At 40.1% G+C, this 14,969-nt stretch overlaps 1 protein-coding gene across 12 annotated transcripts in view; it reads left to right on the plus strand.

The window, feature by feature from the left end:
- Positions 1 to 11,943, plus strand: part of ELK3 (ETS transcription factor ELK3) — a 75,450-nt gene extending 63,507 nt beyond the window's left edge. For 10 of the 12 annotated variants that reach the window (NR_182215.1, NR_182214.1, NR_182212.1 and 7 more), the window contains 2 exons: positions 1,850 to 1,972; positions 9,201 to 11,943. Coding sequence is in view for 8 of the 12 variants with exons in the window: in NM_001413761.1 (NP_001400690.1) it covers positions 1,850 to 1,972; positions 9,201 to 9,299 (222 nt within the window). In the remaining 4 variants the exon portion in view is untranslated. Of the gene's footprint in view, positions 1 to 1,849; positions 2,050 to 9,200 lie in introns of all 12 variants that reach the window. The other 2 variants (NR_182213.1, NM_001413762.1) reach the window with 2 other exon arrangements.
- Positions 11,944 to 14,969: the final 3,026 nt, after the last annotated feature.

Consider the following 14,969-nt stretch of genomic DNA (forward strand, 5'->3'; position numbering starts at 1 on the left):
ATGTCATGTATACTTTCAATTAATTACCAATCCATTTATTCATTCAAAAACATGTATGAAGTACCTAGCCAGATAACTGCCTCTGGCACTTGTTGAGCATTTCTATATGCCAGGCACATATCTTATAAGAGCTTGCAGTAGATCAGCTTATTTAATCTTCCCAACAACCCTGTAACGTGGGCATTTTTATTCTCCCCATTTTACAGATGAGGCAACTGAGACAGAGAGAGGTTAGGTGGCTTGCCTGAGGTTACCTGGCTGGGAAGTAGTGGTTCTGAGATTGGAACCCTGGCAGAGCTCATGCTGAGCCGTGAAGTTTTAACTGTTAGGCCAGATGGCCTGGCATGCTTGTGAAATTGCCTTGGACTAGAACAAATGGGAAGCTTATTCAAAACATGTATTTATTCTAGTAACCTCATAGGTCATTCAGTATGTAGGAAATGCCATGGAACCAACGACTCAAATAATTTGGTATAAATGTGTTTACATTTCAGCAGCTTCACAGTTTGAGGAACTTTGGATGTTTGTCTCCATTCTGCTGAACAGAGCAGACCTTTCAATTTAGGTTTAAGCCAAATGCTGTTGGTAATTAATGATGCTACGGAGGCCAATTCTAGGAAAAAATAACACTTTAGCATCCAGCATGGTGCAGTCTGAAAGGCTGGCGCCTTTGCTGTGGTTCTTCTTACACAAAGCACCTTATTGACATCACAAAACCACTGAGGGACTCCTTCTAGTCACCAAAGGTACAAAACCACCCTGGGCCGGGGAGTTTGTCTCCACTGAGAATAAAAGCCATGCAGACTTAGCAGCTGGGCGGGTGTTTCTTCTGCCCTCCTGCTGGCTTGCAGGCCAGGACTCCTGCTGTGTGTGTGCAAGAAATTCAGTCCTTGGAACTCCCCTGGGAAACCCAGGGTTTTGGCTTTATACCCAATCTGACAAGAAAGGGCCCTCCCTGCCCCCACCCAAACCATTGCCAGGGCAATGAATTCTCATCAACTCCACATCCGGAAGGAATCTGGAAAACCCGGCTCAGAGCTTCTGAAGAGGCTGCTACAGGGTATTTTAACAGCAAATCCCAAAGCCTTAACAGCTGTTGATATGGAGACCATTTAAAAACGTGTGTTCGTAACCCAAGTAATAGATGTCCACTGTAGAAACACAGGAAAATATAGATAAGAAGAATTAAAGCCCCTTTATGGGATCCTATTTTGTTTGTATACTAATCCTTGTTTAATCTGGGAAGGGGAACAAGTTAACAAACCATTCGGACGAAAGTTGATACAAACTTGAATTTTCCACCAGAATGTTTAGGGAAGGTAATGTGTCAATACCTTTTTCCTTTATGAAAAAAGTGTTAATAAAATTAGCATTGAAGAAAACTAGCCAGCCAGGTATGGTGGCTCACGCCTGTAATCCCAGCACTTTGGGAGGCTGAGGTGGGCAGATCACTTGAGGTCAGGAGTTCGAGACCAGCCTGGCCAACGTAATGAAACCCCTTCTCTACTAAAAATACAAAAATTAGTCGGTGGTGGGTGCCTGTAATCCCAGCTGCTTGGGAGGCTGAGGCAGGAGAATCGCTTAAACCCAGGAAGTGGAGGTTATAGTGAACCAAGATCGCGCCATTGCACTCCAGCCTGGGTGACAGAGCGAGACTGTCTCCAAAAGAAAAGAAAATTAAAATTAAACTGTTCACAGCCCCTCAGAATTAACGTTGCCAGTTTTCCTGAGATGGTAAGGTCGTTTCCTGGCCCATGCCTAGCCTACCTAACCTCTCTCTGCTGCTCTGTTGATCATGGCCCAAGTCAGGTGAACCTATATGAAGAAGTCTGTTTGCTTTACTTCCCAGACACCAAATGGATTGCTTCTGACTCCGAGTCCACTGCTCTCCAGCATACATTTCTGGAGCAGCCTTAGTCCAGTTGCTCCGCTGAGTCCTGCCAGGCTGCAAGGGCCAAGCACGCTGTTCCAGGTGAGCGTTTGGAAATGAACTTTTGAACATTAAGCTTCTGAGGGATGGTTTTTTCTCTAAATCCTGCAGAGGTAACGGTGAGTTTTGCCATATGTTGAGTTGAAATATTAAATGTCCAGAGGGGGTTCATGTTAGTGGGGTTGCACGCCCTTCAGAGGCAGACATTTTCATTGAGGCAGAAATTGCAGACTCATGCCAGACACCCATACGTGGAACAATTAGTTCTTAAAGTGTTTTGCATATTTTCATTTGTCTATGAAAACAGGAAATTTATTAAGGAAAAGGCAAAACTTTAAGAATTATTCTTTAGGCCAGTGTGATGGCTCACACCTGTAATCCCAGCACTTTGGGAGGTTGAGGGTGGGAGGATTGTTTGAGCCCAGGAGTTTGAGACCAGCCTGGGCAACACAGCAAGACCCCATCTATATTTAAAATAAAATGAAAATAAATATTATTATTTATAAAAGTCCACAAAAGACTTTAAAATATTAATCCTCCTAGTTAATGTAGCAACTTGTTTGACATAAAGTGAAAATAAAAATAGTGAACAATTTCCCCATCCTGGGATAGAAAAATTACTTGCATCATTTTATGAATCATCATTAAGTTCTCCTTGTTCTGTAATGAAAAAGGAGAATCCAGGGCATTTGGTTAAAAAATAATGAAGACTTAGCTGCTTTATCTTATAGAACTCTCCATACTAGGCGAGCACCTTCATTATTCATTCACACACCAGAATCTTGCAGGACCGTCACTTGCTATCATGGAGAAATCAGTATTTCCTCCTTGAGACCCATAGATCATTACTCACTGATTAAGGTGTTACTGTTTGAATATGTTGAGTGCAGGTGGAAAGAATCCTAGGGACAGGACTGAAGAAAAGGTGGACCCAGTGCAAACTCCCTCTTTCCCAAATTCTAGCTTTTCTCATCGTCCCTGCCTGTATCCTGTGCCCCACAGTGTGGCTTACCCCAAGTTAGTTGCAGCTCTTTGGATACCATTTCATCTAGCACGTGGCACTTTGTATTATGATTGCCTGTTGATCTGGCAATCTTTCTCACTAAACTATGGGCCCTCGAGACCAGAATGGAATCCTGTTCACTGTGGTGTCCCCAGCATCTGGCACATGGCTTGGTACACAAGTGAGGCTCAGTAATAATTGACTGTCTAAATGAATTCACAAAGAGAAGTCTGAGAAAGGCCAGTATTAATAGCAAGTCTTCATGATCATCTGAGCTGGTCATTTTGCTTGTCAAGGTTAATGTCTGCTGAGTACCTCCTCTGTGCCAGGAGCTGTACATGCTGGGATTCAGGGTCTCTTTGTAAGGGTGGAGCTAAAGAGGTTTTGATTGCCATCTTGCTTCTTTGGTTTCCTAGTGGAGTTAGGGTAGGGTGTCATGAAGTGACCATATCCTTGGAGTAATTGGGTTTCTATCTCTTTCACAGCCCTTATTCCCATCACAACAACTTGAGCTATAGTCATGTTGATTTTTAACAATTTCAGCTTGGGTAGGAAAAGAGAAACTAGAAATAGCAAAAAGCAATGAGCAAATGTTGTATTAGGAAAGTTTAAAATTAGGAATACTAATCTTTTGGTGGAGAGATAAAAACACCTCATTTCCTGAAAGTCTTAAGATTAGAGCAGCAGAATTCTAAAATTAATAGAATAGAAAGAAATTGTTTGGTTACAGTAAACTCCATGGCAGTAGGGATTGTTATACTACTCTAATCCTAGAATCTAACACAGAGCTTCTGTAGAGTTCAGTAGGTATTTGTGAATAATAAGTGGCCTCTCATTTCTCTCCTTACTGGGAATTCTGCCACCTGATTGGTGCAGGCCTTGGCAACCTCCTAGGAAAGCAATGGAGCACTATTGGCTGGGGGTTCTTTGGGATTCCTTGTCTTAGATACCTTTTCCAGCCCAACACTCCCAACAGGAAATGATGGTTCATGTCTACAGTGATTCGACACGTTATCAGGATCTCTGGGAGTTGGGATACGTGCATCCGCTCGTTTCTTCAGTCCTCAGTCACTACTGTAGACCAATGGTTCTCAAAGTTAGCATGCAAAATAATCTCCTAGAGGGTGAGTTAAAATAAAGATTGCAGGGCCCCACTCCCAGAGTTTCTGACTCAGTAGGTCTGGGATAGGGCCTGATAAAAACTTTTTTTTTTTTTTTTTTTGAGACAGAGTCTCACTCTGTTGCCCAGGCTGGAGTGCAGTGGTGTGATCTCTGCTCACTGCAATTTCCACCTCCTGGGTCCAAGTGATTCTCTTGCTTCAGCATCCCAAATAGCTAGGACTACAGGCGTGTACCACCACACACAGTTAATTTTTGTATTTTTAGTAGAGATGGAGTTTTGCCATGTTGGCCAGGCTGGTCCCAAACTCCTGACCTCAAGTGACCTGCCTGCCTTGGTCTCCCAAATTGCTGCGATTACAGGTGTAAGCCACCGTGCCTGGCCCAAAAACATTTTTGTCATGTTCCTAGTGATACTACCCAGTCTAGGAACCAATTTGAGAAGCACTGCAGACCAGAGGTTCCTAGTTTATATTTAGAATTCTGCATCAGAAATTACTGCATTTAAAGGCTACCTGCTTAGAGTTTTAATTTCACCAAGTGGACCTGTTCTCTTTCCTGAAGCCATTCAGAATACAACCCTTGAAAAAAAAGACAAGCTGGTATTCCGGATGGCTGACAGGTTGTATGGCCTTGGGCTCTCTTTTTGTGGCTGGATCCAGGAGACTAAGGAAAAACAATTTTTTGCCTTTTAAAATATTATTAGTCTTCCTGTGAAAAGAGCAACTGAGTATGGCAAAAGTTGAAAATAGCAATTTTGAGAACGGTAAACAACAAAATATGGTAGAGGAATAACTTTCTGATTTTTAAAACTAGATGTTACAATTGATACATATTCAGAATTCAGATTACTATCAGCAGTGCCTCTTATTTTTTTAAGAACTTTTTTTTTTTTTTAAATTTAGAGACGGGGTCTCATTATGTTGTCCAGGCTGGTCTTGAACTCCTGGGTTCAAGTAGTCCTCCACTTCAGCCTCTGGAGTAGCTGGGACTACAGGCATACCACCACGCTGGCCAACATCCCTTTTAAACTGATGAAAATAATTTTCTTTCAAAATAACAACAAACCTCTTTCATGTACGCTATAGATGTAATGAAGGAAGAAAAAAATAGATTTGGCTTACACATTTTAAATGATGCTGGCAAGTTTCCTATTACCATGATTGGAAAGGTTGATCAGAATCCTTGGGGTAATAGTTGAACAGCTGAAGCATTTTTGTACAGAAGGGCCCCTAATATGATTACTATAGCAGGTTATAGCAGATATGAAAGAATTCCAAGGAAGGAGAGAGAAGACGCCTTTCTGGAAGAGGTATGCTTTAAAATTGAGAAATGTTTAGGTAAGGAGAGAGGCACCGAAGACATTGTGCTAAATGTAAACAAAGAACCTTGATTTATATAAATAAAGTGAACTCGGTTTTTCTTGGACAGTTTATTATTTTCTTCTTGTCTAAGGATGTCTGTTCCATGACTTTTGAAACAGATTTTGTTCCAATGTGGAATATACCTAGTAGGAATAGGTATGTCTTGAAACAAGGTAGAGCTAATTAAGTTTTCAATTAAGAATGTGTGCTGTAATTTTTAGTTCAACAAATCTAACCCCAGCAAATATTTGCAATGCTCTGCGACAAGGACTGTAGGGACAGAGAATATGTGAATAGTGGATGAGTAAACAAACTGCTGCAGAAAGTAAGGGGCAGACGCGCTTTTTCCAGCTGGCCACTGGACAGGCTCCAAGGAAGCAGTGGCGCCTCAGCTGGGAGGAAGGGACAGGATTTCGATCGAGTACATTTAGATGAATAGAGCCGAATGACGGGGACGTGAGAGTCTGTTCAGGAAGGGACCAGGTGATAGGAGATAAGGTTGGAAACGCAGCTGTGGGCCTTGAATATAGGCTTAGGAATTTCTCTCTTTATCTGTTAAATGTTTACGCTTTTTAAGCTGGAGGTAGGAGGATGAGATCTCTGTTTTAGAGAACAATCACTGATATTAGTGTGGAGGAAGAACTGAAGAGAAAGTGGAAGGAACAGGAAGATAAGAGGAAATTTTTATTTTTATTTTTTGAGATGAGCTCGCTGTGCTGCCCAGGCTGGAGTGCGGTGGCACAATCTCGGCTCACTGCAACCTCTGCCTCCTGGGCTCAAGCGATCCTCCCACCTCAGCCTCTCAAGTAGCTGGGACTACAACTACAGGCATATGCCACCAAGCCTGGCTAAGTTTTGAAATTTTTTTGTAGAAACGAGGTCTCACTATATTGCTCAGGCTGGTTTTGAACTCCTGGGCTCGAGCAGTCCTCCTGCTTTAGCTTCCTAGGAAGGGCTAGGATTACAGGTGTCAACGACCATACCTGGCTAGAGGAAATGATACTACAAATATTGAAGGGAGAATCATCTTTGAGATTAAAACAGTGGACACAGGATATAATTAGAAGACATTTTAGAGGTGAGCTCAAGAGAGGCAGACTTTGAGCTGGGTCTGAGGGGTAAAGTAGGTATTGAAAATTAAGTAGAAGCAAAGATTACTAAGTGATTAACATACTGGAAATGCTACTAAATAACAATAGTTAAGGCCGGGCATGGTGGTTCATGCCTGTAATCCCAGCACTTTGGGAGGGTGACATGGGTGGATCACTTGAGCCCAAGAGTTCGAGACCATCAGGGGCAACATAGCAAGACCCTGTCTCTCCAAAAAAAATACAAAAATTGGCCACGTGTGCTGGCGTGTGCCTGTGGTCCCAACTACTAGGGAGGCTGAGGTGGCAGCACTGCTTGAGCCCTGGAGGTTGAGGCTGTAGTGAGCCATGAGCATGCCACTGCACTCAAACCTGGGCGACAGAGTGATCCTGTCTGAAAAAATAAAGATAAAACATAACAATAGTTAACATTTATTGATGATTGATGACTTATTGTGTGCAAGACGTTGTTCTTAGCACTTTTGGTGGCTTCTCATTTAATACTCCCAGTAATTCTATTTTAGAGATAAGAAACTAAGGCACAGGGATATTGGCTAGTTTATTCAAGATAACACACTCGTAAGTGGTGGAGCCCTGACTCAAGTTTTAAGTTTGTGGTCCCAGCCACCATTCTCACTGACTTGGAGTAAGCAATGGAAGAAGGGCGAGTTTTGTGGGAAAGAGGCATTGGTTGGAGATGTCTAAAATGGAAATGGTTGTCAAGTCCAAGCATGGTACTGGAGAAAAGGTGGCTGGGGACAAAAGTTTGGGAAACGTTGCAGTTTAAAATAGGGGAGTGTCATGGGAGAAGAGCCTAATAAAGATGACTAAAAAAATGTTAGAAAAGCCAGGCTAATCAAGAGAAACTATGTCCATTGAGTATACAGAAATAATAAGGGCAGAAATCAGTAATTTATTTTGCAAAACAGATGAATACCAAAACTGATTCTCTTGAAAACACCAATAAGGTACACCAAAGAGAGAGAAGATGCAAATAAACAAAAAGAATGAAAATGCAGGCTGGGCACAGTGGCTGACATCTGCAATCCCAGCACTTTGGGAGGCTGAGGCAGGCCAGTTGCTTGAGCTCAGGAGTTCCAGACCAGCCTGGGCAACATGGTGAAACCTCGTATTTACCAAACATACAAAAATTAGCTAGGCATGGTGGCATCCACCTGTAGTCCCAGCTACTTAGGAGGCTGAAGTGGGAGGATGGCTGGGAGGTGGAGGTTGCAGTGAGCCAATATTGCATCACTATGCTCCAGCCTGGGTGACAGAGCCAGACCCTATCTCTAAATAAAATAAATAAATAAATGAAAATTTAAAATCTGTTCATCTTCCCATGTTCACTCTAACTCAATGGGAAGAGTGGTTAGTAGCACGGACCTTTTAAACAAGAGTATAAACTATATGTGCATAGATTTGATAATGCAGTTGAAGTGAATACAATTCTAGAAAAAGTTAAAATTCTAAAGTTCCAGAAAAGAAACAAAAACCTTGAATATGCCAATAATCATTAAAGAAATTAAAACAGTAATTAAAGATACCCCCTAACTCCTACCAAAATAAAAAGTTGTAAAATGTTGGTACAGAAAGATTTGTTTAAAACTTGGCTGTGTTGCTTATTAGCTGTGTGACCTTTAGCCAACAGAACTTATTTGAAATCTGTTTTCTCATCTGTAAAATGGGGACAACAAAACTTACGTTACAGCTCCTAGGTATCAAATGAAATGACAAGCCTTGATAAACTCTAAGGTACTAGACACAAGTTACTGAAATTGTTTGAAAATTGCAAAAACATATTTACTTAAATATAAGTATTTGTTGTACTTCTAACATGTGTCAGGCTCTGTAATTTGATATTTGGCGCTGAAGTTTAACTTTCCTGGACTAAATAGGAAATAAGCTAGAAAAGACAGCCCAGGAGATCTTTTTGACACATCATCCTCAACAACGAAAATCTAGTTGCAAGTAGTCACATATTAAAAGGCCTTGTTCAGTTGGGATTGCAACTAACATATTTGTTTCAGACCTGAAACTCATTATCAGAGCATATACTGTCATCCTACTATATTTATCATCTTAGTGAACAACAATACAGAAATCTTATTCTTTGTCACTTATGAGTGATCTGTGTGATATTTTAATTAGAATACTTTCTTAGCTCCAAAATAATCTATTCTAAATCTTTAAATACATTTCTTACTTTAGAATAAATGCTGCAAGAATCATCTTTGTAGTACCCTGAAAAACTGATGGCAAATTTCAAAATATAGTATTAGAAATTACTGACTCACATGTAAAGAGTCTATGGTTTTCAAAACACTCTTTTAATATTTAATATTAAACATTATTTTAATATTTATAGCATTATCAGCATCCTGAGTAGCTTAGAACTTTTAAAAAATAGTGTTAGAAGATGCTTTAGCAACATATAAATTATATATTTTTTCCTAGTAGCCTATGCATATAGAATAATTAGGGACATTTTCTGGGCCTTATCCTTTGTTTGCTCTATGTAAATCTTGATCTCATTGTCATCTTCCAATTATTCTGTAAAATACATTGGCAACTAATCTCTATCACAGGGGTGATGAGAGAAATGGACTGCTATGGACTGTATGGGAATGTAAAGAACCTAAGTTCTTCCCAATGGATTTGCAATAATTATTGTAAAAATCTTTTGTCCCCTACAGTTCCCCACACTGCTTAATGGCCACATGCCAGTGCCAATCCCCAGTCTGGACAGAGCTGCTTCTCCAGTACTGCTTTCTTCAAACTCTCAGAAATCCTGATGACGTCTGGCCACAATTAAGGACTCATTAACTGATGAAACAAATTTGTCCCCACGGGCTAGTTTACCTGTGTCGTGAGAAGGACATTGTGAAACTCTTGTTAATTTGGTTTGCACTTTTCATAACATGGATAGTCTAGATTTATGTTAGCATTTTAAAAACTGTTTTTGATATATTCAAGTATATATGAAAATCTGTTTGGCATTAAGTGAATTTTAATGTTTTTGTTTTTATATCCTTTTAGCTCTTAAGTGTTGAACACTGTTGACAGTGAAGAACTTTTCTTAATGGTTTTCAGTATAACTAATAAGGATGTGAAGCTTTTTTCTCTTTAGTTCTGAGTATGCTAAACTGTGTGCTTATATAGACTATAACCAGTTGTGCCTTCCTTCGCATTTAATGTAAATGAATGATTTATATATTTTTTAGTATTAAGAGGAAATGTTTGAAAGATGAAAATTAGTATCAAACAGCTCTCTAGTAGAATTTCATTATTTTTCACCAGTGGGCAATATGAAAGCATATATCACGTTTTGTTTTACTTTCAATTGTATAAGAATTGCCTTAGAACCTCTTTTGAACTGAAATTCAGTAAATGTCCAAGTAATGTTTTTATAATAAACTAAGCCATATTTAGACAATAAACATTGATAAAAGAAAATGTTCTAAAGTACATTTTCAAAAGAATGGACCTTGAAAGGCTAGCCTCCTTAGCTGTTTACAGTATCTTATCTTTTAGATGCCTCCCAGACAAAAATCTGAGATGGAAAAGCTACATCAAGTTCATGCTATTCCAGGCCCAAGAATATCTCCTAGGTTAGCATATTCTTATTTCAAAAAATTAGCCCTGGTTTTCTCAGTTTTCCATAGGGAATCCCGACCATCTGATATATTTACTGTGTCAGTATAAGTAAGTTGGGGTTCCCCTGGAACTATAATTAACATTTAAAAAATCTAATGCTTTAGAAGAAGCTCACAGAGTGGTGATGAACCCAAACAACAAAGAAACCATTTTTAACACTAGGTATCTTCATCAGTATAGGTAGGTGTTCACAATTTTTGATGGATCAAAAACTTGCTGTAATACAAATAGAGAGTGGAGGTACTAAAGGCCTTGCTTGTGGAAACTGAGAGAGGATACACTGCTTTATGTATTACTAAAGTTAGGGGAGAATGAAGGAAATCTGACAGATGAAAAATTCTACAGGAACCTCATCATCGTGGAACTGAACTGATGATAACTTGGAACACTCCAGTAAATTCTGTTGTGTAATGTAATTTGGAGCAGTGATAATACAGACATATTTTCTGTTCCATCAGAAAATCAGCAGGCACCAGTCCAAAGGTACCACACCTGTACATGAAGAAGGAAAGTTCTAATACAAGAAAACTGAAAAGCACCAAGCTTTAAATTCAAGATTAATTACAATCCTTAACTATAAGTGATGATAAAAACTAACTTGAAATGTGACTAAATAACTGATCCAAACTGGGCATTAAGTGGCAGGATTATGAGAAAGGATAAAAAAAGAGATTTGAGAAAACACATTTCTTGAATTTTCAGAAAAAAATCTAGACTATTGCTTTGACACTTAGAAATTCTGAGGTTTTTCAATTGGAATTGAGCATCTCTGTATGTGGGGATGTGGGCCCTTATCAAGGGATAAAAATCCAAACACTCTAACATGCCTCCTTGACTGTAAAGTAATGACACTGGTTCCAAAATTCACAAATAATAGACACTACTGTCCCCCCACCCCCACCCCATAGGCTAAGAATAATTCTGTACCAGAATAAAAGGAGCTGGTCCAGGGAACTGATATTTACTGAACATACAAAGTTAGTGCTAGAAGGGGCCTTTGAGAATGCTTCCCGCCACCTGTTTCCAGCTCAAGACAGGTGCACAGCAGAAGCTGGGAGTTGCCTATGGCTGCACAGCTCACTGAAGGTAGAACAATGATTGGTGCTCAGTCCAATTCTGTCTCCCCCATGCCTAGCTGTTAAGTAATTACTGGTTCAAAACTACGTGTTATTAGTAAAACAAACAAAACAGATAAAGACAGCATTTAAAACTGTGTTGTCAGATAAGAGAACACATCCAAAATGCATGATTCTTACAAACTAAAGGAAGTTAATGTGCAAAAATCTCAACCAAAACTACTATTTTTAGTATACTTGTTTACGTAAATGCTGATTGGAAATATTTAAATGACTATAGATCTGATTCTTTCTTTTCCTTTGGAAACTGGGATTAATGTATGCTCTAGATCCATTTATTAGAAATGCAAAAATACTACAATTTTTTGATGGATGAAAATACTCCTGTAACACAAACAGAGAACTGGAGGAACTGAAGAATAACTCACTCATATAGCTCTGCCTCATTCTGTGTGTGTGTGCATGTGTGTGTTAGCAGAGGTATTTTACTCAGAAAATAGGTTTCAAAGAACATTAATGACTTTCTTTTCCCTTTTATGTCTGCTTAATCAGTGTTAAACTGCTATGGGAAAAGTTTTATAGAACTATATAACCTGAATGTTGGTCTCTTTGTACACATCTTTTCTATGACTGCAAATCTTCACTTTATGTATCATTTTTACTGTCATATTATTTTTGTTCAATAAAAACTTTGTGATAAAAGGTGTTTAGAGGTAACTGGATTGGCTTACTTCCATTTGCTTGGGGTGACCCAAACCACTTTTCCATATGGATACAAGTTGGAAAATGAGTCTTGTCACCTACCCTTAAAGACAGCACATCCAAAAAAAAAGTGCTTTACATACACATATTTTAAGAAATAAATGTAATTATTGAGGCTGACTTGTGGGAGAATGGAATGGATTGAAAAGCAGACCCCTGATCTTATTTAAGTTCTATCAACTGCTCTGTATTGAGGAGGAGGAGGAAGTGAGAAGGTAGGGGAAAATCAAATCTACCATTTATTCTTTTAGCCATTTTGTTGATTCAGGGGAATGTGAACTGCTAGGCTTGGTGATAAAGGTTATTATTTCTCTTGGTCTCAATACCAGGCTGACCTGGCTCTGGTTTTCATGGGTGATTCAAAGCAGTCTCCACTCAGGGTTTGATATAGGGAGACTGGTGTGAGGGGAGGGGAGGGGATGCAGGGAGAAAGCAGATTAATGCAGTCCCTAAACAACACATTCAGTATCACTAGCGTGCCAAAAGGCCACAGATAACTCACAGCTACATATAGTGTAACACAGGTGGCGGTAGGAAATCATTTGCTTCCTGAAGAAACATTTAAAGATCAACTATGTTCCAGGTGCCATTTTAGAAACGGGGGATGGAAACCCGATCCCTGTTCTCATTAATAATTTGCTTGGTTCTGTTTATACATAAGAATTCAACTGGCTGGGTGCGGTGGCTCACGCCTGTAATCCCAGCACTTTGGGAGGCCCAGGCGAGTGGATCACCTGAGGTCAGGAGTTCAAGACCAGCCTGGCCAACATGGTGAAACCCCGTCTCTACTAAATACGCAAAAATTAGTTGGGCATGATGGCAAGCGCCTGTAATCCCAGCTACGCGGGAGGCTGAGGCAGGAGAATCACCTGGATCTGGGAGGTGGAGGTTGCAGTGAGCCGAGATCATGCCACTGCACTCCAGCCTGGATGACGAGAGCGAAACTACATCTCAAAAAAAAAAAAAAAGAATTCAAATCAGTTTTGTAAAATGCCCTTTTATGCTTAAATACCCACAGGGATCTGCGCCGCCCCTTCGTGTTACCTGGGATTATATGACCCTGCCTAAAGGATTGGCACTGAAGAATACACTATGTTTAGTTACCCTCTCTCAGGTGAGTCAGATCTCTAAAACATGGTTTTATTTCATTGCTGGATGGCATAATTTCAGTTAATGATAGCAACCATTTGTAAGGTTGCTGTCATGCCAGGCACTGTTCTAAGCATGTTACATGGATTACTTAATCTTCCTAATAAACCTATGATAGAAGTACTATTATATACCATTTTACAGATAAGGAAATTGAAGCCTAGAGTGATTAAGGAACTGGCTCAAGGTCACAGAATTGGCCAGATTTCAAACAGCATTTTGATTGAGAGGCCATGGTCTTAATCTATAGGACTTCCAACGAATGTAAATTAGCAATTTACATCTTCACATAGAACAGTACCTGGTGCACATAAACCTTTCAGACATGTTTGCTATATCAGTGTTTCCTGGGAGGGCAGGCAAATTTTCTGTCATCAAGAAGCTGGCCCTACCTAGATTTCTCTAGTATTGACTTTATTCCTAGACCCACTCCCCAGTGGCGCGTGTGTACCTGCATATCTGTGTGTGTGTGTGCGTGTGTGTGTGTGTGTGTGTTGAGAACAGCTTGATCATAGGTTAGTTCTTAAGATTTTAAAGACTCACATGTTTTAGCCAGCTAGGAAGAAAGTTTCTATCACCAATTTTTGACAGCGACATTTGTCTTTGGTTGACTCAGAGAGGGGACGAATCCAAGTTGATATTACATAACTGACAAAAGATTTTTTAGAATTACTCAGAATTTCATCATGCATGTGTGCCTTAATTTGATCAGCAAATACTACTGTTCCCCTAAAATGTATCAGGTACTAGGATAAAGAAGAGCAAAATGCAATCCTCTCCTTCATGGAGCTTGTGGATTAGTGAGAAGAAATGACGTGTGATTAAGTGTTGTTGCAGAGTGAAGTATAAGGATGCTATTGGGAAGGAAGGCAGTTAAGCAGCAGAGCACATAACCCAGTCTGTGGTAGGGTAGGTGGGGCAGAGAAGGCTTTCTGGAAGAAAAAATTACATTGAGAATGAGTAAGGGTAACAAAGAGAAGAGGCATAGATGAACAAGCAGAGGAAAGGGGATGTTTCACAATGAGGTGAGGTGTGAGGAACTCAAAAGATCAATATGGCTGGATTTACCCTCACAGAGAACAAAGCCTATCTCATCATCATATGGGATAGTAATGTAGATACCAGTAGCAACAGAGTCGAAATTGAAAAGGGAGGAAGGAGGAACGCTTCTAGATCCCTGAGGAGTAAATGACACAGTGATTAGCTACGATTCTGTGGAAGAGCAAGATGGCAGGATGGGGCCCTCAAAAATAAACTTTTTCAGTGTTTCTGGAATAACAGTCCATCATCATCATCCAGAGATGAGCTACACAGCCTGTAACAGCACCACGTCACCCATTCATCACTTGACAACCTCAGCTGCATACATACATGAGGAAGAAAATAACAAGATAAAGATGATCCTTAAGACTATTTTGACTGTTAGAATGTGGAACTATTGTCAATATAGCTGGAGAAACGGCTGGAGAGTGGCACTGTTTCAACTAGCACTGTTCTAGGAAAGACTCAAAAGAGTCCCAAGGGAGTCTTGCGTTAAGTCCCAAGTCTATTCACTAAAATTCCATAGGTCAATCAGAGCCCAGTGGAGCCATCCTTTGGTAAACATACAAGACTGTTGGCAGACGCTAAGTTTCCCTTACCCTCTGAAAGGTGCTGCATATTATCCAGAGGGTCACCAGCTACATCTTCACATCTTTATGATCCAGCCCAGGTATCTCTGCATCACTACTGCAGCAGCGTTAAGGTGGGAGAGAGTAGCAAGAACAGCCATCAGGATTCCTATTCCAGCTTCAGTCTTTCTCTCCCTGTCCCCCTCTCACA

This window comes from Homo sapiens, chromosome 12 (assembly GCF_000001405.40).
Source record: "Homo sapiens chromosome 12, GRCh38.p14 Primary Assembly".
NCBI lineage: Eukaryota > Metazoa > Chordata > Mammalia > Primates > Hominidae > Homo > Homo sapiens.